Source organism: Homo sapiens, chromosome 10 (genome assembly GCF_000001405.40).
Source record: "Homo sapiens chromosome 10, GRCh38.p14 Primary Assembly".
Taxonomy (NCBI): Eukaryota; Metazoa; Chordata; class Mammalia; order Primates; family Hominidae; genus Homo; species Homo sapiens.
The window spans coordinates 30340008-30362584 of NC_000010.11; the positions used below are offsets into that span (position 1 = coordinate 30340008).

At 44.7% G+C, this 22577-nt stretch overlaps 1 protein-coding gene and 1 pseudogene across 1 annotated transcript in view, besides 7 other annotated features; one reads left to right on the plus strand and one right to left on the minus strand.

Moving 5' to 3' along the window:
- The window catches only part of MTPAP (mitochondrial poly(A) polymerase), a 39478-nt gene extending 30207 nt beyond the window's left edge, over positions 1-9271 (minus strand). Inside the window, exons 1-3 of the mRNA NM_018109.4 lie at positions 9112-9271; positions 1461-1633; positions 219-443 (exon numbers count right to left, since the gene is read on the minus strand). Of these exons, the coding sequence (NP_060579.3) occupies positions 219-443; positions 1461-1633; positions 9112-9268 (555 nt within the window). The 5' untranslated portion in view covers positions 9269-9271. The remainder of the gene's footprint in view (positions 1-218; positions 444-1460; positions 1634-9111) is intronic.
- Positions 7751-8251: an enhancer, noted in NCBI's record as "H3K4me1 hESC enhancer chr10:30636687-30637187 (GRCh37/hg19 assembly coordinates)". NCBI's record gives its function as "activates a minimal SCP1, AML or CMV promoter by ChIP-STARR-seq in naive H9 embryonic stem cells {active_cell/tissue: H9 hESC(naive)}" and the evidence as "EXISTENCE:reporter gene assay evidence [ECO:0000049][PMID:30033119]".
- Positions 8833-8932: an enhancer, noted in NCBI's record as "active region_3204". NCBI's record gives its function as "activates an Ori minimal core promoter by ATAC-STARR-seq in GM12878 lymphoblastoid cells {active_cell/tissue: GM12878}" and the evidence as "EXISTENCE:reporter gene assay evidence [ECO:0000049][PMID:35858748]".
- Positions 8943-9012: an enhancer, noted in NCBI's record as "active region_3205". NCBI's record gives its function as "activates an Ori minimal core promoter by ATAC-STARR-seq in GM12878 lymphoblastoid cells {active_cell/tissue: GM12878}" and the evidence as "EXISTENCE:reporter gene assay evidence [ECO:0000049][PMID:35858748]".
- Positions 9063-9112: an enhancer, noted in NCBI's record as "active region_3206". NCBI's record gives its function as "activates an Ori minimal core promoter by ATAC-STARR-seq in GM12878 lymphoblastoid cells {active_cell/tissue: GM12878}" and the evidence as "EXISTENCE:reporter gene assay evidence [ECO:0000049][PMID:35858748]".
- Positions 9143-9282: an enhancer, noted in NCBI's record as "active region_3207". NCBI's record gives its function as "activates an Ori minimal core promoter by ATAC-STARR-seq in GM12878 lymphoblastoid cells {active_cell/tissue: GM12878}" and the evidence as "EXISTENCE:reporter gene assay evidence [ECO:0000049][PMID:35858748]".
- Positions 17147-18977, plus strand: DNM1P17 (dynamin 1 pseudogene 17; annotated as a pseudogene).
- Positions 19669-20273: an enhancer, noted in NCBI's record as "H3K4me1 hESC enhancer chr10:30648605-30649209 (GRCh37/hg19 assembly coordinates)". NCBI's record gives its function as "activates a minimal SCP1, AML or CMV promoter by ChIP-STARR-seq in primed H9 embryonic stem cells {active_cell/tissue: H9 hESC(primed)}" and the evidence as "EXISTENCE:reporter gene assay evidence [ECO:0000049][PMID:30033119]".
- Positions 20157-20206: an enhancer, noted in NCBI's record as "active region_3208". NCBI's record gives its function as "activates an Ori minimal core promoter by ATAC-STARR-seq in GM12878 lymphoblastoid cells {active_cell/tissue: GM12878}" and the evidence as "EXISTENCE:reporter gene assay evidence [ECO:0000049][PMID:35858748]".

Here is a 22577-nt window from a genome sequence, read left to right on the forward strand (position 1 = left end):
GCATGACGACATTCTTAGAAAGCTAGAAATAGAAAAAAACTTTCCTTCATCTCATTATGCATCCACCACCACGATTCATCTCCGTAACTCTTTTCACCTTGTAAAACTGAAGATCTATACCCATTAAACAATAATGTAGCTTGAACATTTTACAGGAATCTTTATTGTTCATAAAAAAATACATAGTTCTAAAAGTTGAGGTACACCTAAAAACTTACACTTTCTGCATAACAAAGTAATTCAAAAAGCTGCTTGTTTGAACGTGGCAACTGATTACTTGACCGTACGCGTGACCGTTCAGAAGTCTGGTTTTTCAACTTCAGATTGAAGAAACGTGATCTGAATGGAATTGCAGTCTCCATGGCCGTGCTTGGAGTATGAGTCCCATTCTGCAGTGAACCTATGCTTTCCTTTTGGCAAAATTCTACGACAGCATAGAGACCCTATACCAAAAACATAAGAAAAAACAGAACACATTTCACGATATATCTAACATACTATTTTAGCTCATATATTAAAACAATTATCATAATGCTACAAAATATCAAGTCTTTAAAATTTACAAATGATATGATTCTAACATAGCATTAATTTTATTCAATTTAAGTAGATGAAGAAAAGGAACACTGGGCCGGGCGCAGTGGCTCACGCTTGTAATCCCAGCACTTTGGGACATGGAGGTGGGCAGATCACCTGAGGTCAAGAGTTCAAGACCAGCCTGGCCAACATGGTGAAACCTCGCCTCTACTAAAAATACAAAAATTAGCCAGGCGTGGTGGCAGGTGTCTGTAAGTCCAGCTACTTGGAAGGCTGAGGCAGGAGAATCGCTTGAACCCAAGAGACGGAGGTTGCAATGACCCAAGATCATGCCACTGCACTCCAGCCTGGGCAACAGAGTGAGACTCCATGTCAAAAAAAAAGAAACGGAACCTTAAAACAATGTTAGTTAAGAGAAGCTGAAAAGACTGAAAAGAATGATGAAGCAGAAAAATCCAAAGGCAAAACAAAGATCCCCTCCCACTGGCCTTCATCCGCAAGTTAAAGAGACTATCTAAAGTATTCAAGCTGGGTGTGGTGGTGCAGGACTGTAGTCCCAGCTACTCCAGAGGCAGAAGGATCACCCGAGCCTAGGAGTCGAGGCTGTAGTGCAATATGATCGTACCTGCCAACAGCCACTGCACTCCAGCATAGGCCACATAGTTGGACCCCGTCTCTTAAAAAATAAAATTAAGCATTCAAATAATGAAATCAGTCATAAATGACTTATAATCCTAAAATACCGCTATAAGAATCCCATATCAAAAACAAAACTCATTAAAGAAATCTAGATAAAGAAGATGCAGTATATCAAAGAGAACCTACCTACCATATTGCAAAAAGCAACAGCAAAAAACAACTAATGGAGACCTCCACCCTTGAAAAGCATAAACGTTAAGTTAGATTGTTTTTCAAATACTTACAAAGCTTTCATAGAAGAAATGATTATTAATAGGTCCAAATTGGGATAAATATTTAAGAAACTTGTTTTCACTGATTTTCTCTGGGCAATGTATTAAAACAGTCCGCTGTGCCTGTTCTCGTCTTTCATTTTGCATCTCAGAGAATCTCCTTTTGGGAATCTTGTCTTCAAAGCCTATGAACGAGACAAAAACATTTCCACCACACGCACACACACAAAATTTTAAAAATATTTTGATAAGGTGTTTAAAGACTTCATATATGACTAAAACCAACTTCACCTAATCTATTTTTTCTCTTCCTTTATAAGGGTTAAACTATACTACAGTAGTCTCCCCATTACCCACAGGGGTTATGATCCAAGATGCCTGTAAATGCTTAAAACCTCAGATATTACCAAGCCCTATATATACAATGTTTTATCCTACACATACATTGCTATGATAAGGCTTAATTTATAAATTAGGCACAGTAAGAGATTAATAACAACGGGCCGGGCTTGGTGGCTCATGCCTGTAATACCAGAACTTTGGGAGGCTGAGGTGGGTGGATCACCTGAGGCCAGGAGTTCGAGATCAGCCTGACCATGGTGAAACCTCATCTGTACTAAAAATACAAAAATTAGCCAGGCATGGTGGCGCGCGCCTGTAGTCCCAGCTACTTGGGAGGCTGAAACAGGAGAATCACTTGAAACCAGGTGGCAGACGTTGCAGTGAGCTGAGATTGCACCACTGCACTCCATCCTGGGCAACAGAGCGAGACTCTGTCTCAAAAAAAAGAGACAGAGATTAACAACAACTAATAATGAAATAGAACAATTCTAATATACTGTAATAAAAGTTATATGAATGTGGTCTCTCTCTCTCTCAAAATATCATATTGTACTGTGCTCACCTATTTGTGGACCACAGTTGACTGTGAGGAACCGAAACTGTGGACAGTGAAAACATGGATGAGGTGGAATTACTGCACTTTCAGTGTTCGTTTGACTACTCTCCCATGACTACTATTAAAACTGCCCACTTTCTCTGTTTTGATTTACTATGCTTGATGCAAAGTGCTGAAAACGGAGTTCCACAAAAAAAAAAAAAAAAACCAGGAAACTAAAATCACTTATTTAATACTTGTACAAATATGCACACACAAAATTGTGCAAATTGTAACATTCCAAAGCCTAAAAGAAATTATTACAAGCCTGAGTGTAATGAGACAATGAGTTTGGAAATTCGGTGTTTTGACATAAGCTATTAAGGCATTTTTCTTTCTCAAGGGTCTTGATCTGGCTCAAACAATTAACAGTGAGTTACCAACTATCATGCGCTCTGTATCAGGGAAATCAAAGAATTTAAAACCTCGTTACTGCCCATGAAGAGCTCCCTGATAATTTTACTAAGGAAAGAAAGAGGCTAGGAGTTTTACAATCACAGGGAATCAAGACAAGAATTGTGACAGTGAAGAATTAAATATTAATAACCCACTAGCCACAATGGGAAGGTCAACAAATGAACTAAGTATAGAGAGAAAAAAATTATTCAAGTTCTAAGAGAGTATTAAAGCACAAACCTGAATGTTAACAACTAATTTTTTTCCCCCAAGATTTTAACTTCCAGTTAAGTAGTTTAAGGTGTTTCTTTAAAAAGTCTGGAATGGTAGACTCTAGAGATCATAAACCACCAAGTCTGATATCAATACCCTTAACAAGGCCAGACGCGGTGGCTCACACCTGTAATCCCAGCACTTTGGGAGACGGAGGTGGGCGGATCACCTGAGGCCAGGAGTTTGAGACCAGCCTGCCCAAATTAGCCAGGCGTGGTGTCGTGTGTCTGCAGTCCCGGTTACTTGGGAGGCTGAGGTAGGAGAATCACTTCAACCCAGGAGGTTGCAGTGATCCGAGATTGCACCATTGCACTCCAGCCTGAGTGACAGAGGGAGACTGTCTCAAAAAAAAAAAAAAAATCTTAAAATTCCAAAGAAATTAAATAGAACAGAAAATGTAAATGATGTATAGAAATCAGCAGAAGCTTTTAGCCTCATTTTCTTCCAAAAGGCTATGAAACTGATGGATCAAGGAAATACTCCAAACCCACTATCTTACTATCTTTTTTCTTTTTTTTTTTAAAGAGACAAGGTCTCCCTCTGTCACCCAGGCTGGAGTGCAGTGGCACAACCCCAGCTCACTGCAATCTCCGCCTCCCAGGTTCAAGCGATTCTCATGCCTCAACCTCCCCAGTAGCCGGTATTACAGGCGTGCGCCACCACGCCCAGCTAATTTTTGTATGTTTAGTAGAGATGGGGTTTCACTACGTTGGTCAGGCTGGTCTTGAACTGCTGACCTCAAGCAGTCCTCCCTCCTTGGACTCCCAAAGTGCTGAAATTACAGGCATGACGCCACCACGCCAAGCCTGAAAATACAGCTTTTAACTATGTGCCTTCGCCTCCATTCCCAATGACAATTCTTTAACATCAATCTCTTATTTCAGGCCTGTATCACAATAATCTGACTCCTAAACTAGTCTCATTCACCCTAGTTTTGTTTTTCTCAAGCTATCCTCCACATAACTGCCAAAGTGTTCTTTATAAAATGGTCTTTTTTTTTTAAGTCTTATTCTTTGGCTTACCTGCTTAAATCCTTTAATGGTTTCCCCACTGCCTTTAGGATCACATCTCAACTCCATAGCATGGGTATAAAGTGCTTGCACCATGTCCCATCTCCCCTCTTTCATGTCACTTATACCATTTCTTTCTGTTGTACTTTTCACATATGGTACTCTACACACACAATACTATCACATGCTATGAACTATCTATGTCTTCTTCCTTCTGGTTGGAATGTCTACCTTCTCATTTTCTGTCTGGCAAACTCCCATTCACCCTCCAAATCTTGCTCAGGTCTGTGAAGACTTCTGACTCTCCATGGCAGAATCTCTTCCACCTCTGTATTACCTTACTTTAACAACTATGAAGGAATGTAATTCATAGTGTTATATTTATTTAACAATATGGAAGAATACTTTCTTCCATATTGAGGGCAGAGGCTATTCTTTTCAATTAGATCTCAGTCTACCAACTGTCCTTCCTCCAAGTGGTCCTTATTTCCTTCTCTTATGCTACAGGCTCTGCCTAGACCACCTTACCACCTTTTCAGTTGTGAATGCCACCTACACACTCGTCTCTGATTTTTACTGAGTCTAAACTGATGTCCAACTGCGTATTGTAAAAGTAAAGTCAAACAGCATAGAATTTTCTTTTTTATTTTCCAGACAGAGTCTCACTCTATTGCCCAGGCTGGAGTGCAGTGGTGTGATCTCGGCTCACCGCAATCTCCACCTCCAGGGTTCAAGCAATTCTCCTGCCTCAGCCTCCCGAGTGGCTGGGATTACAGGACCTGCCACTGCGCCAGGCTAATTTTTATATTTTTAGTAGAGAAGGAGTTTCACCATGTTGGTCCGGCTGCTCTTGAACTCCTGACCTCAGGTGATCCTCCTGCCTCGGCCTCCCAAAGTGCCGGGATTACAAGCGTGAGCCATGGCGCCCGGCCCAAACAGTGTAGAATTTTCTCAGGTAGAAGCATAAGTCCTCTCCCAGTCCTCTTACCCTAACAGCCAACCATTAAGTTGTGGTACTTACCTTTTCAGACATTTTCAAGGTATATGTAAACATATACACTTGTATCCATAGATACACATCTTTTACACAACTGAAATTTACTGAAATCTTACTATATATTCTGTAACATGCTGTAAGATATTTAATATATTGGGGACATTTTCCCGTATCAGAAGATACACATTTACTTTATTTCTTTTAAAAAGTATATACTCTTAAATATGTATTTATCATAGTTTAGCCAAATCTCTATTGATAAATATTTAGGTGGTTTACCATTTTTTCACTATTACAAACAATGCTGCAATGTCATCTGTATGCAATGTCTTTGCACATTTATGCAAATATATCCCTGCAGGTGGACTGCTGGCAAAGAGCAGGGATTACATTTGAGAATGAGATAGAAAAGTTTGATTAAAAAAAATGGAGCAATGTGCTTGAGAAGATGAAAAAGGTAGAATCTAAAGCCGTAAACAACAGTAGGTTAAGAATGATGTAGACACGATGACAAAGTTGTGAAGGCGGGAACAGAAAGTTGAGGTAATTTATTGCCTCACCAAAGGTTTATCAAATCTATAACAAATTAAAAGGAAGAACTAATAAGTGCTAATATTTTATGACAGATTGAAATGTGCAATGGTCTTGATAATACAATATGGTAAGCACAAACTAACATTAAGAAATGACTGAATAGGCCAGGTGCAGTGGCTCATGCCTGTAATCCCAGCACTTTGGGAGGTCAGGGAGGGTGGATCACTTGAGGTCAGAAGTTCCAAACCAGCCTGGCCAACATAGTGAAATCCCATCTCTACTAAAAATACAAAAAATTAACCAAGTGTGGTAACGCGTGCCTGTAATCCCAGGTACTCAAGAGGCTGAGGCAGGAGAATCGCTAGAAGGCAGAGGTTGCACTGAGCCGAGATAGCGCCACTGAACTCCAGCCTGGGTGACTGAGAGACTCCTTCTCAAAAGAAAAAAAAAAAAAAAAAGACAGAATACTATCCTGTATTTAGAATTAAAAACAAAATAAAGATGCATGCACGTAATGGGGGAAAAATTAACCTAGCAGTTTTATAAAAGAGGCCTGAAAGTCTGATGCATCATAGGAATGTCTTAACTTCTGGATTGAGGATAGGAAGAGAATGAATTCATATAAAGAACTTCAGGCCTTATTGAGACAAACGTTTTTAAAAATCCAAATTTAAGGGGTAATAACACTTCTTTGGTACTTACTAATCAGGCCACATATGGAGTACATGTTCTACTCTGGACATAATAGATAAGCCAGAGAGCATCCAGAGAGGAATAACAAAAAGTCTAGAAACTCTAATATACAATTACTACAGATAAAGAGAGGATTTACAGCCTGGAAAAAAAAAACTGTAAGAATCTGAGAGCTGAGCACTGGCTTTAAACATAATATAGCACCTTCTCTTAATAGTTTTCCAAGCACTGTCACATACACACTCTTCTGAAATTCACAATAACCTTTTAAGATAGACAGGGTAGGTATCACTGCAGGTGAAAAAAACTGCCCAAAGTCAAATACCTAATAAGCTGGGTAGCCTCCTGCAGTTTAGCTGTTGTTGGTTTGGCTGCTGGCATCCAAACAACAGCTAAACCTGTTCAGGTAACAGTTCTGGTAACAGCACACCCCTGCTAGTAAAAAACCACTCTATGTGGTTGTGGTGGAACTGTCACACTTATCCCCCACCCCATGAGATAGGGATTATCAGACTATTTTGGACACCTCCTCTTCATCCAAAGGGTGGGCATGTGATCAATCGGAAGCCGCAAGCATGTGAACGTGGAGCTGCTGGTGACCATCACCCCCATCATCAACATCCCATGTAGAAGAGCCCAAGATTATAAGGCCACCAAAAAACAGCTAAGGAAAATGAAAATATCTCACACTGACCACGTCAAACCAATTGACCTTAAAGTATGATATATGTCTCTTTCTGGAGTTTGGTTACACAGATTGGTATAGTCTCCCTTTTCTACTTAAGCTATTTTGAGTTAGTTTCTGTTACCTGTATCAGAAAGAATCCCGAATAATACACCATGTACTCTTATTGTCTTTCTACTACAGCTCTTTCCACTACTAACATGAAACCTATGTCAAAACTAAGACCAACCTGGAAATGGGAAATTAACAGATTTTAGCTCACTATAAATATTTTTCAACCATTAGAGGCTGACCAAAAATGGAATTGACTGATTTATGCAACAATGTTCCTTATTGCTATAAACTGGTAATGAATCCTCACACTGAATGAAAAACTGAATTGGATATTTCTCAAGTTCCTTCCAATTATAAAATCACATGCTTCTAGGTGAGTATAAGGTGTACTTAACTGTCCTTCTTTAAAATGGTAAAGACATCCAAATGAGGATTTTGTTATTTCCTGCAAGAATCCCTGAATATTTAGTCGTATTATTCTAATGACACAAAATGAAACATTTCCTTAAAAAAGAAAAATAGCAAAGCTACAGTAAATGAAGAGTATAGTCTTGGAATTAGAAGTGAGTTTTACTGGCTGGGCGCGGTGGCTCACGCCTGTAATCCCAGCACTTTGGGAGGCCAAGGCAGGCAGATCACCTGAGTCTGGAGTTCAAGATCAGCCTGGCCAACATGGTGAAACCCCATCTCTACTAATAACACAAAAATTAGCCAGGCGTGGTGCCACGTGCCTGTAATCCCAGCTACTCGGGAGGCTGAGGCAGGAGAATCACTTAAACCCGGGAGGCCAAGGTTGCCGTGAGCCAAGATCGTGCCATTGCACTCCAGCCTGGGTGACAGAGCAAGACTTCGTCCCGAAAAAGAAAAAAAAAAAACAGTGGGTTTTTTAATTTTTGCCACCGAATAGCTGAGTTTAGCTTGAACTACTCAAGCTACCCTTGGACTACCCTGTTCCCTCATCTATAAAATGGAGTAACAGTTATTTCCTTCCACACCTACGCTACAGGGTTGTTTCATATATCAAAGAGCATATGAACATACTCTCAAATTTAAACACCCATACAAATGTTAAATTACAATAGCTTTTTTGGCAGAATCCTTACTCAAATTTTCAGCGTTACTTAGAAATGTTCAACAGAAGTAGCTTCCACTAAATACAATCCAATCAATATTTGAATGAAATACATAAAGATTTCTCACTGCCTGCCAATGTAAGTCTTTTATACAGTCTGATAAAGACACCAGCTTATTTTAGGGAAAAAATAGCTCCAAGGAATCGTAGAAGTCAATACATTTTGTTTAATAATTTGACTAGAAGTCTAAATTAACTGAGCTAGTGACCTTGCCTAAGTTATTTACCTCTTTGAACCATTTTCTACATCTGTAAAATGGACACAGTGATACATTTCTTGCAAGATCGTTTTAAGAACTGTAAATAGAATACACAAGCTCTTGAGTCACAAGAGAGGTTCAATAACACTGGCTTCTCAATACACAAAGAAGCATATAAATGTAGAACGAACGCGGGACAACAGCCTGTTGCAGTGAATCCAAATCTGTTACCAGACTGATTTGGTTCAAAATGGCCAAAAAGAATAAAGTAAACGGCAGTACATTTCATAGACAGAACCCTATGTCTAGGAACCAAGAATCCTCTTGATTCATCAGGCTACAATATAACTCGGCCTCCAGCAACAACTTAATGTATCAAAATCAGAAATATACGTACACGATGCAGCGACTGGCTCAGGTGTGTAGCATTACTATCATTGGGAACACTATTTCGTCAAACTGTAAAGTGCAAGCAAACTGGGTTCCTGACCTGAATTTCATGGAAGTCTAAACAACTCCATTACTGTACACAGGAGTCGCCCCAAACAAACATCACACATCTCACTTCTGCCTCAGCAACGGCGGCGACCCTGGGTTCCCCTACAGAGATCAGAGGAGAGGAGAGGACAGGACACAGCCCCACCCTCTTGCCAAAGGGTCCACAGCCGTTTCCACAGGCCACGTGTTTCCCCGTGATCCCAGACTCCTCGCCCGCTGTGGGACGGAACTACAGGGCAAACCGGCGCCATCACCTGTCTCCACGCTCCCTGAAGGCTGCTCGTCTCTCCTAAGGTCTTTGGCCACAGTTCCTGGGCAACTCAAAAGCCTGACGATAGGCCGCTGGACTCGAGTTCTTCTCCGGGCACACAGGTTCAAACGGGTCAAGAGCCCCACGCCGGGAACCGCCATTGCTAAAAAAAAAAAAAAAAAAAAAACAGCACTAGCGCGAAGCTGAAAGGTCAGCGCGTTTTCGCGCATGCGTCGGGGGGGAGGGGGGGGGCAAAAGAAATGGGAAGCCTCGAGGGTCAAACTAGGCGAAAGAAGTTCGCTTTTAGAGGAAGAGAGGAAATTGAGGCCGGAAAGAAGATACCTAAGCTTTCAGACATGGTTTACTTCCACAGTCACACAATTTACCAAATGAAAAGTTCCATAGAAGGAGCGCTCCACCTACTCTTGTAAATAGCATCATGAAAATAGAACCAGAGCCCGGGCGCGGTGGCTCATGCCTGTAATCCCAGCACTTTGAGAGGCTGAGGGAGGTGAATCTCCTGACGTTACGGGTTCGAGACCAGCCTGGCTAACATGGCGAAACCTTGTCTCTACTAAAAAATACAAAAAAATTAGCTGGGCGTGATTACATGCCTGTAATCCCAGCTACTTGGGAGGCTGAGGCACGAGAATCACTTGAACCCAGGAGGCGAAGGTTGCAGTGAGCCGAGATCGCGCCACTGCACTTAAGCCTGTGCAACAGAGCGTGACCCTGTCTCAAAAAAAAAAAAAAAAAAAAAGTTAAAATAATGGAAAGGCTTTTAACCTCTCTGAAAGGGGCACCAGGAGCAGGCAGGGCATCATCATCTTCCTTGAACCATGTGAGGACATTTTACAACCTCTGCCAATATGCCTCAATTCAAATTAAAATTCAAGTGGTTTTGCCAGCCCCTCCTCCAAGTGAGAGGTACATACCTCATCTTAAAGCCATACGAAAGGCATTGGAGAGGACTGGTTCAGTCTTCTCATTTTGGACATGAGAAAGTGGGGCACAGATCAGACAACGACTGGCTATAGGTCACACCTGGGGAGTCAAAGTTTAAAGTCAGAGCTCTGCCCTTGATTCAAGGCTCCTCCTCAGTGCCTGTGTCATAACCAGTGGCCCTTGCTCGGGTGCCTGGGAAAAGGACATACGAAACAGTGCAAAGAAGCCTGCAACTGAAGGCAGCCTCCCCGGGGGAATACACTGCTGCTGGAGGCGAAAGGAAAAGCAAGGGGCCTCGCAATCGGAGCGTGAGAGAGGACAAACCAGCACCGGAACTGACTAGCCAGCTCTGTGTTAGCATGGTGCTATTGCCTTGCAGGTATTTTCCTTTTTAATCATCTCAACAAATCTGAGTGATTAAACCCATTTCATGGATGAGAACACGGAGGCTTAGAGACAGTAAGTAACTTGTCTAAGGTGGCCTCATTAGAAGTTGGCTGTGCTGGCTGGGTGTGGTGGCTCACGCCTGTAATCCCAGAACTTTGGGAGACCAAGGCGGGAGGATCACCTGAGGTCAGGAATTCCAGACCAGCCTGGCCAACATAGCGAAACCCTGTCTCTACTACAAATACAAACATTAGCCAGGTGTGGTGGTGGGCACCTGTAATCCCAGCTACTTGGGAGGCTGAGGCAGGAGAATCACTTGAACCCAGGAGGCAGAGGTTTCAGTGAGCCAAGATTGTGCCACTGCACTCCAGCCTGGCAACAGAGCAAGACTCTGTCTCAAAAAAAAAGTTGGCTGTGCCATTTGACCCCAGGTCAGTCCCCAGATCCTGGGCCTTCCACTCGGACACACACTCAAGGCCACCCTCAGGCCACACAGAGTCCTGCCACTCCCACATGGATGTTGAAGAATCTCAAAGTTAGATAGAAGTATATTTGATTTTGATACTTCCAAGGAAAGTCCTGCGTAAGCAATGAGTTTGGGGATGGATGTGAGGACTTTTTAATTTTTGTGGGGGATATTTAATCCCTTTAGCAGAATAAAATGTTCTCCAGCCACTTGGCAGTAGGTACTTTTTTTTTATTTTATTTTTTGAGACAGAGTCTTGCTCTGTCGCTCAGGGTAGAATGCGTTAGTGCAATCTCAGCTCACTGCATCCTCCTCCTCCTGGATTCAAGCAATTCTCCTGCCTCAGCCTCCCAAGTAGTTGAGATTACAGGCACCTGCCATTATGCCCGGCTAATTTTCGTATTTTTGTAGAGACAGGTTTTCACCATGTTGCCCAGGCTGGTCTTGACCTCCTGAACTCAGGTGATCCACCCACCTCGGCCTCCCAAAATGTTGGGATTACAGACGTGAGCCACTGCACCCAGTTGAAAGTAGCTATTTTTATAGAACTATTCTGTCGTAAGGTATTACTTCTAGCTCACTGGCCTGCATCTTCCAGAAAAGAAAACTTTGCATTTAATGTTTAAAATGAAATAAATGCTTATTTTTATAAGGTTGATATGGTTTGCATCTGTGTCCCCACCAAATCCATGTTGAGATATAATCCCCAGTGCTGGCCGTGCGGCCTGGTGGAAGGTGTTTGGATCATGGGGGTGGATCCCTCATCAGTGGCTTAGCGCCATCCCCTTGGTGATAATTGGATGTGTTCTCGGAAACCTGGTTGTTTAATAGTTTGTGGCACCTCCCCTCGATTTTGCTCCCGCTCACTCCATGTGACGTGCCTGCTCCCCCTTTGCCTTCTGCCATGATTGTAAGCTCCCCGAGGCTTCCTCAGAAGCAGAGGCCAGTGCCATGTTTCCTGTACAGCCTGCAGAACCATGAGCCAATTAAACCTCTTTTCTTTGTAAATTACCCAGCCTCAGGTATTTTTTTATAGTGATGCAGGAAGGGCCTAATGCAAAGGCGTACTGTTTTGTTTTGTTTTCAAGCTAAGGTATATTGTTTATGCCTTATTACAAATTTGAGGGATATCAGAAACTGGGGGATACTGTAAGCCCAGCAAGGGGAGGAATACTCTATGGCTTCAAGCCTGGGCTCTCCTGCATATGGGGTTTCACAATGGGAATGGTGCTTGATGCATTCAACTAATACCTTATTTGTAGACATCTGTATCATTTTCAGCTTTTAAAATATGATCAGCTACATTGTAGCCAATATCCCCAGTTAAGTCACAGCTGATATACAACTTTATTTCCTTATAATAAAATACTAGAAGTTACTGGTCAGATTTAAGATGTTCAATACAAATTGCTCTCTAGAAAAACTGTTCCATTTTACCTTCAGACAACAGTTATGAAAGGCTCATTTTTCCAAACCCTCATGGTTTGGAAACTATATTCATGGTTTCCAAATCTCCTGTGTCCCCACTAAATCTCATGTTGAATTCTAATCCCTAATGTTGGAGATGGGGCCGGGAAGTAATTGGATCGCAGGCGCAGATTTCCCATGAATGGTTTACACCATCCCCTTGGCACTGTCCACACGATTGTGAGTGAGTTCTCATGAGATCTAGTCATTTAAAAGTGTGGCACCTGCCCCCTCACTCTCTCTGGCTCCTGCTCCCACCTTGTGAGATGTCTCGCTCCCCCTTCGCCTTCCACCGTGACTGTAAGTTTCCTGAGGCCTTCCCAGAAGCTGAGCAGATGCCAGCATCATGGTTCCTGTACAGCCTGTGGAACTGTGAGCCAGTTAAACTTCTTTTCTTTAGAAATTCCCCAGTCTCAGATATTTCGTTATAGCACTCACTAACACTCACTAACTCTGAGTTTGCTTTTTCTTTTTTATTATTACTAGATGAATATTATTTTATGTATTCATTGCCCATTTGTATTTCTTCTTTTCTGAATTGCCAGTGTATTTCCTTGACTCATTTTTTTTCTATTACTGTGTTTGTCTTTTTCCCGTTTGTTGATGAGTACCTTCATATAGTGGGAATACCCACACTGATATACTTCATTATATAAAAATCGAAACTTCTGTATGTTACAAAACACCAGAAAAACAAATGAAAAGACAGAAGAAATTATCGAGAAAAACAAATTTACAATGAATAGAACAATTTTTCTTTATACCTTCTGTACAGTACTGAGCATCACACTTAGAAAGTCCTTCATAATCCTCAAGATCAGGTAAATGTTCATTTTTTGTTATCTCTTAGTTTGTTAGTATGTTTATAGTTTTATTTGTTAACATCTTTACAACAACTGGAATTAGTTTCTGGCATGAAGTTTAAAGCAGTAATAATTTTAGCTGGATTTTTTCCCAGGAAGTTAATTAATTGCCCTAACAAAACTTATTGAACAATTCTTCTTTGCTCACAGGGTCTTAACTCCACCTTTATCATATGCTAAAAAGTATGTTCTTATAAAAATTCAGATTAGTTTCTGGACTTCCTATTCTGTTATTCTGTTCCATGATCTGTGATCTTTTCTAAATTCTAAAGCTGTCCCTATTCCAACAAGGGCTCCCAAATTCTCAGAAATAGAGTTTGCATTGCTTTGGTCATCTCTGTTCATATTCTTATCTCTTATGTTAGACTGTGAGTTCCCTGAGGAATGGGAACTCTCCCTGTGACCGTGAGTTCCCTGAGGGAAGGGAGGTCTCACTCCTCTTTGTACCCCGAGAGCCGAGTGTGGTGTAATGAAGGGAGGGCAAAACAGCACATGGGGAAATGAGGAAGCCCCAGGATTACAGTTGCCAGATTGAGCAAATAAAATAAGCAGTTAACCTACAATATCAGATAAACCACAAATAGTTTTTTGTATGAGTATGTGCTATGTAATATTTGGGATATACTTATCCTAAAAGTTATCCAGACATCTCCACTGAAACACTCATCCTCCTCAGATCTCAAACCTCCACCTACCATGAGATCCAAGCTGAAAAACCAGGAATGCATCTTTTACATGCCAAATGCCACAAGTGACACAGGCTCAAGTTAGAGGCACCCAACAGGCTGAGCATGAGAGTGGGAAATATGACCTTCCACGCTTACAGAGGCAGCATCACAGGCCAAGAATGAACTGACTCACTGCTGTTCCTCCAAAAGCCTCTCCCCCAACCCCCTGCACCCTGCCCCATGTCCCTGGTCCCCAGGGGCCCTGAGCTGAGTGGGGCAGGGCAGATACTGTATGATCCTACAGCTGACCGTTCATAGTCTCTAATCTTTCCTTCTCACATAAAAGAAAAACAGGGCTGTCCTCTGATGCTACCCAGCATGTGACACCTGCCTAGACACACCCAGTAGGCACTCAAGCAATGGTGGGGATGCAGTCGTTCTGTTTCTCGTGGTTTTTTGTTGTTGGTGGTGGTTGTTTGTTTTTGAGACAGAGTCTCACTCTCTCACCCAGGCTGGAGTGCAATGGTGCGATCTTGACTCACTGAAACCTCCACCTTCCGAGTTCAAGCAATTCTCCTGCCTCAGCCTCCCAAGTAGTTGCGATTACAGGCACCCGCCACCATACCTGGCTAACTTTTTGTATTTTCAGTAGAGATGGGGTTTCACCATGTTGGCCAGGTTGGTCTCGAACTCCTGACCTTAGGTGACACACCAGCCTTGGCCTCCCAAAGTGCTGGGATTACAGGCGTGAGCCACCGCACCCAGCCCTATTTCTCATGTTCATCCATACATTTCCACAGGGGCTGCAAGCCTACACAGCCTATGCACTTGGTCCAAATGGCCCCTAGTTTGTGTCAGGCACAGTGCTAAGCATTGGGGTTACAATGGTGAAAAAAAACCAACCTGGCCCTTGACATCCTGGGGCTTACAATCTAGTTGGGGAGATGGCCATAAATCACGTGATCAAAAATTTTTTAATTGAAAAAGTATAAGGAGATATAAGAGCGTATAGTGAGGGACCTAATCTGATGGGGTGGGTAGTCAGCACCCCAAATGAGGACTATTTGAGAAGGCGTTCACTGTCCAAGAGAAATGCTTCTGGCAGAGAGAACTGCATGTGCAAAGGTCCTGAAGTAGGAGGAAGGGTGCCTCAGGGATGTGAGGTGAGTGAGAGAGTGAGAGAGAAAGAACGAAGCAAGAGGAAGCTGCAGAGGCAGGCAGGGTCCAGATCCTGCAGGCCAATAGTGAGTCAAGGCCATTGCAGAATTTAGCAAGAGAGTCACTTAATAATACTGGGCTTTTAAAGATGAATATGGCTGCAATTCCAGAATGGGTGGTTGGAAGAGGCCAAAGTGGAAGCTACTGGGGAGGTCTCTGTAAGAGCTGACAGTGACCTAGTGGTGGAAATGGGGCAGGAGAGAGGGAGACTGTGTTGGGCTTCATCATGGTTGAATGCAGGAGAGAAATGAGGTATCAGGGAGATGCTGGCACAGCCAGGGAAGACTTTCATCACCCACTGGGCACGGGGGAGGGTGGTTAAACTGTGGGGAGAAGCAGGGCTCTTAGCCAGGATGGAAAAGAGAGAGAGAGTGAGGAGAAGGAGCAGGAGCAAGAGAGCTAAAGCTGAGAACTCAAAGGACCAAGGAGATGCTACAGGGCCGGCTCACAGAGGTGGGGCAGAAGGGACTCATTGTTGCCCAGCTTTCTCTCATTTCAGTCTCAAAAGCATCCCGCCTGCTAGGGGGAACTTTTCCCACTTTGCAGGGTAGTCAAATCAGATCCTTTCCTAAAATCACAGAGCTGGGACATGAACGCAGGTCTGTGTAACTGTAAAGCTCACACTCTTCTCTCTCCCAAAAGCCCCACTCCTGCCCCCTGATCCCTGGGCTGATGAGTTTACATCGAGGCCTATAGCCAAAAGGAGGGCTCAGAGACTCCCCAGCAGTGGAGGAAAGTGGCTGGGTGGGAGGGCTAATTCTCAATTCTTGTAGTTCTCCCAGAGCCTGGAGCCTGGGGCAATATGGGGAAACCAAGGCAGACACAACGTGGAGACAGCAAAGGGTAGTGTTTCTCAACTTTGTCTACATGTTGCCATCATCAGGTGAGCTCTGAAAACTCTTGGTGCCCAGGCTGTCCCCCAGCCAATTAGCTCAGAATCTCTAGGGTGGGGCTGGGGCTCTAGAGTGTGTGGGGAGCTGGGTGTGTGTTCAGGCCAGTTGCTTCTCTCTGTGCCTCAATGTTCCCGGTACCGTTGGAGGGGCTGAGATCCTGGGGATTCCTGGAGCCTGGCTGCATGGCCTGGCCACTCTGATGCCCTTGTGTTCTCCACGCCAGGCCAGCAAGGCTGAGGAGAATGCCTCCGACAGCTTCATGCACTTCATGGACTCACAGCTGGAGCGGCAAATGGAGACCACCCAGAACCTGGTGGAATCCTACATGGCCATTGTCAACAAGACCTTGCTGGACCTCGTGGTTGGTCTCCTACCCGAGACCATCATGCACCTTATGATCAACAACATGCATGCACCGCCTCATGGGGGCAGGGGGCTCCTGTGGCACTAGGGGTGCAGGTTGGCCTGGGGGAGGTGCCGACCAGCCCTATGGGACCAGGTGCAGGGAAGGAGGCACCGTCCAGACTAGAGCTCCCATAGAAATATAACACGGGACTGGGCACAGTGGCCCATGCCTGTAATCCCAGCACTTTGGAAGGCCAAGGTGGGAGGAACGCTCGAGCCCAAGAGTTTGAGGCCAGCCTAGGCAACATAGTGAGACCTGGTACCTACACAAAAATCTTAAAAATAGCTGGGCTCAGTGGTGGCACGTGCCTGTAGTCCTAGTTACGCAACAGGCTGACGTTGGAGGATCACTTTGAGCCCAGGAGGTTGAGGCTGCAGTGAGCGGTGATCTCGCCCACTGTACTCCAGCCTGGCGACAGAGTGAGATCCTATCTCCAAAAACAATTTAGGAAAAACTGAGTAAACAGGTGTCCTGGTGGCATGATATGTCCTAGGTTCCCTCTCAGATCTGTGACGTTGGACAGGTGACTTTTCCTCTGGACCTCAGTGTCCCCATCTGAATGAGAAAAGGCGGTGGGGAGGCAGATCTTTGAGTCTAAGCAGTGTAGAAGTCGCATCTAAAAAGCCATACTCGGGGCTCCAAGTCCAGCACACAGTCCCAGCAGGGCCCGACGGGGTGGCCAGAGTGGCACAGGCATCAGGTCCCAACCTTTTTGCCCACTCTCAGACCAAGGAGTTCATCTTCTTGGAGCTGCTGGACAACCTGTACTCGCGTGGGGACCAGAACACGCTGATGGAGGAGTCGGCAGAGCAGGCATGGCGGTGTGATGAGATGCTGTGCATGCAACACGTGCTGAAGGAGGCGCTCAGCATCATCAGTGACATCAGCACAAACACCGTCAGCATGGTCATGGGGACCCGTGGATGACTCCTGGCTGCAGGTGCAGAGCGTCCCAGCTGGACGCAGGTACCAGGGCTGGCCCCCACAGCCCCAAAGCCCACCAGCCTCCATGACTGAGCCTGGGGGCTCTTGGAACAGACTCCATGCCCAAGCTGGCAGGCATGGGTGCTTTCTGGAACTATCAGAGAGGGCAGAGAGCTCGTGGTTTATGGTGTAGGGGCTGGGAACTTGGAAGGGGTTGTGTGTGGGGCTGGACTCTGAGGCGGCCAGAGACCTATGAACGTCATCTTGGGCACACCTGTCATGCAGTCTGAGTCATGCTGGCAGGGCAGGGCATCCAGCTCCCAGCCTGGGAGTGCAGAGCAGGTGTGATAGTCAGGGTCCCACCTCCTCTATCTGTCGGCAATCCAGTGGTGATCTAGGATAAAACCTTGAGAGTCCCATGCACACAGTCATCCCACAACACACCTCACAGGCCAGGGAGGGACACACAGCCCCCTTCCCTCTCTCCCAGGTACCATCATAGCTGCTAGCATGTGGCTGAAGCCAGGGTCCCTGGCCCCCGCTGAAGCACTACCACCAGCCAGCGGCCTCATGCACCTTGGCCTGTTGCTCTTAGGGGTTGCCTATGCTGTTCAGCCAAGGGGACCACAGTACCTGCTGGCCCAGCTGAGCTCCACCCAGTGAGCCCACCCGCCTTCCCTGCCATGGACTCTCCCTCTTCTGCTTTTCCCAGCAGGAAGCGCCCAGCCTCACCTATGCAACCTGCAGCCCCCCAACCAGCTGAGGCTCCCCTCTTAGACTTATAAGTCTATGGCCAGTGGCATCCAGCTGCCTGCTCTCCCTGCCTCCCCCAGGGTCCCTTCAGAGGGTCCTGGGCTTTCTGACCACCCAGAAGGGCCTCAGGTGCACCCTCCAGCCATCCATCCCTTTTAGCTTCACCACCCTGGTTCAAGCAGTGTTCTTTCTCTATTAGGCCTGGCGGCTGTTGTGTGGGGCTCCCCAAGGTGAGAGGCAGCCCTGGGCCAGTGGGTTGGAAGACAGGGTGACCAGAGAAGAGGGAAGCCCGAGGGGGCTGAGCATTGGTCTGAACTGTGGGTACACTGCCTAGGTGCCGTGGGAGAGGCCAGTGTGTGTAGGGTGTGGAGGGCCACCACAGCCCCCAGGACCTACCTGTGAAGCTCCAGCTCCTCCCTCCATCTTCCTCCCCTTTCCCTTCCAGCCCCTCTCTTCCAGGAACCTTGCCACACCCACACCTGCACCCTCCCTTCCCCGGCCCTCCCACAGCTCCTGCAGCTTGCCCCTGCTCTGTGCTTGCCTCACCAGCTCTCTGCCCACTTTTCTCTCTACCGTTTTCTCTCTGCTTTCTCTCCAACTGCCAGCCAATCGATCGGGTCAGGAAAATCCATCCCATCCTGAGAGCCTCAGGCCCCACTTCGACCTCTAAACAGATCCCTCCTCTTCTCAGAGACCTCCCTTTCCAAGCCTGCCTGGGTGGCTGTTCTGTGACTTGACAGCGGCTCCCCCAGCCCCAAAGCTTCATCTGTGACTTAGTCTGTTGTAGTGGAGAGCTGACATATCCAGCTGTGACTGTTGCTGAAAACTTGTGCCACCTCTGTGGTATGCCCCTGCCCTGTTCTATAAATATCTATAAATAGGCCGGGCGCGGTGGCTCACGCCTGTGATCCTAGCACTTTGGGAGGCCGAGGCATGCAGATCACAAGGTCAGGAGTTTGAGATGAGCCTGGCCAATATGGTGAAACCTCATCTCTACTAAAGTTACAAAAATTAGCCGGGCATGGTGGCAGGTGCTTGTAGTCCCAGCTACTCACAGGCTGAGGCAGGAGAATTGCTTGAACCCGAGAGGCAGAGGTTGCACTGAGCCAAGATCGTGCCACTGCACTCCAGCCTGGGCAACAGAGCGAGACTCCGGCTCAAAAAAAAAAAAAAAAAAAAAGAAAGAAAGAAAAAAGAAAAAATCTGTAAATACTCGTATGCATATATATATTTATAGATAACACACACACACACACACACACACACACACACACACACACCCCCATACCTGGCCAACTGCCTCACCTGTAGTGCTGGGAATCAGTCACTGTGCTGTCCTTGTGGAGTCTTGTGGCCCAACAAGAGAAAGCTGTCCCCTGACATTGCCCCTCCACAGTGCACCACCTCCAGTGAGCCTCGCTGTCCTGCCCGGCCCGTGGCCTGCCAGCCCCCACCATCCTTCCTTTCCCCCACCAAGCATGGGGTTGCTGTGCAGGCAGCTGTGTGGCCTGACAGTCTACCAGTTCTGCTGTCCCTCAGCTGAGAATCAAACCCATTTCTGGATGACAGGGAATGTGTCCTCTGCTGGCTGTGTTCTCTGCGGAGCTCTGGGGAGGGGAAAGTTCAAGCCATTTCTAGGGTGCTATTGGGAGTGGTGAAAAGGCCACACCCTTTGCAAGGGACACTTTTCCTGGAAAGCCCCTGGAGCTTAGCTGGTTCTTACCCTGTGAAGCTGGCTCTGGCCACTAGAGGGCAGGACCATGAACTCAGCCTGGAGGGAGCCTGTGGGGCAGCTGGCACTCTGGAGGGACAGACAGAACAGACCACCAGGTGCAGACAGGAGAGGCAGGCAAGGGGACGGAGAACGGAAGATGCCTGGGGTGGATGGAAGTCAGTGCCCTTGGATGCTGGTACCTGCCTTTCCAGTCACCACTAGATCAGGCTTCTGAGCCTGTTGGCTGTCAGGGCTGGACTCACCCCATAGGCGTCATGGCAGTCCCTGTGAAATCCTCCAGGTGTCACCAGGCAGCATACAGGTAACAGGCCTGGAATGTCCCAACAGCCCAGCTGGACATGCTCAGACACTCTGGGGCTCCTCGTTCAGTGGCACAAACTCCAGGACCCAGTGAGGGAAACAGGAACACACCAGGTCAAGCAGTATGGCTAAATCCATTTATTCCAAAATAAAAAGCAAAATAAACAGGAGTCACATCACCAGGGAGCCACGACCCCATCCCCACCTCCTTCCTCTGTCCTATGCTATCAATAAATAAGTTTCCCAGCCACAAATAATTATTAGAACCTCCTCCCCGTATACCAGCTCCAACCTCTGCTAGGTACAATACAGGGGGTGGCCCTACCCCCTAGAATATACAAAACGTTACACAGATACAATATGTACACTGGGGAAGGGGGGCCACCCCAGCAGCCTATGCCCTCACCTAGTCTACAGTTAGCCCCACTGTCCTGACTCAGCTGTGCCTCTGAATAAGAAGATGGGAGCCCCCCAGAGGGAAAAGTTGCTTCGGTGCGAATAAGAAGGCCATTAGGCCTCCTCCAAACAAACCAACTCCACCAGCCTCTGGCTCGTAAATAACAAACATCATCATCCAGAAATTTAAGGACTCAGCCCTGGTCAAGGTGGCAAAGGATCTGTTCGTCTGCCCCCATTAAACAGGGGTCTTGTCTTGCTACCCTAATGGTAAAGGGGTGACTGGGAAGGGGTGTTAGGGACATGGTGGGGGTGGAGACTCCAGCCCCACTTCTCCAGGCTTTGCTGACAGCGGCCTGCTTTTATTTATTTTTATTTTTGTCCCATGACTTGCTTTTTAATCCCTTAACTTCTTTTTCATAACTTTTTTTATAACTTTTCGCAAAACTTTTTTCTACTTCTTTTCCACAATTTTTTTGCCACAACTTTTCCACAACATTTTTTATCCCATAGCTTTTTCATGCCATAACTTTTTAAATCCCATAACTGTTTTGTAGTTTGTGCTCTTTTAATAAACATACTTGCAGAGTTATATTACAATTTTGTAAAAATAAAAACAGATTATCTCATGCCAAGCCTGCCCAGCATTTGCAGTCTCAGTTCCTTTAATACTGTAGTTTTCAAGACATACAAAAAAAAATTTTAAGGCAAAACCAGCACTTTGCAATAGTTTATTAATTTATTATATTACAGTGGCATCACAGCAGCAGTCAATAATACCAATTAAGGCAAACGTCTTTCAGTATTTCCATTATACATTCTGTTTACAAGAATTCATAAGTTGGTAAAAGTCATTCTAAGAAAACTTGGCAAATAAAGCTTTGGACTGGAATTGGCATTTCTTTCTCTACTCCCCTCCCCCACCTGTTTCTTTCTTTTAAACCACAGTATTCATATTTTAAAATGTTTTAACTAATTTCAAAACATTAAGATAGCAGTTACATTATTTAATAGTTATATTATTTTAAAATGACTCTTTAAGATAAAGTTTTAGAGAAACTATATTATGGATAGGGCTGATTTACATTTTCAAATTTTCTAAAAATCAGCTTTGGTTTTAGAACTGATTTTTTCATTTCTGGAAAACCTATCAGGTTTAATCAAACACTTTAAAAATGATTATCATATATTGCAATCTTTAGGTATTTTGATTCTTTACTTTCCACAGAAATTCAATTTTTTTCAGTTGAACTCACATTTTAAAATTCTATGTTTCTGTTGAACTCTAACTTTCTAATGTTGCCTTCTGAGCAAATTGAAAGCTGCCTTATACTGAATGAGGAAAAGAATACTTGGCTGAATGAAGTATTGCAAAAGACTGCACGCACTTTGAACAAAGACTTAAGTTATTGTCATACGATTTTCATTCTCTTTAGCTTTTTCTTAAATATACGACAAAATGCATACACAGAGTGGTATTTCCATTAATATAGTAAATTCATTTTCCAGACTGACATCCAGCTTAAATATGCCAGTATGTGATTTAATCCATAGGTACCTGGTGAACACATTATTGTCAGATTGGTTACAGATGCCAAATGCTATCTGAGGGTCATTCCTAGTCATTTATATTTATCAGGGTAAAAGTGAAGTGATTTGAACTATAAAAACACCTTTGAAATAATTTATTGATGTATTAGATAAACCTAGTTTCAGAATTATAAAGAAAAAATGTTAGACCAAATAATGTGGCTAATTAACAGTGGTACAATTTCCAGCCCGAGGGTTTAAAATGGACTTAAATTAACTGTCTTTAAACTAAACTCAAAGAATGCAAAAGTGGCAAGTTCAGAAAATAAAAGGCAAGAACAGGACTTTAAATCCATTTTAAACCCTTGGGCTAGTAATCACACCACTGTTAATTAGCCACATTATTTGGTCTAACATTTTTTCTTTATAAGTCTGAAACTGGGTTTATCTAATACACTGATGCATTCATATAATTTGGAAGAGTCAACTGAAATCAAAAGGACCCAATATTTGTACTCT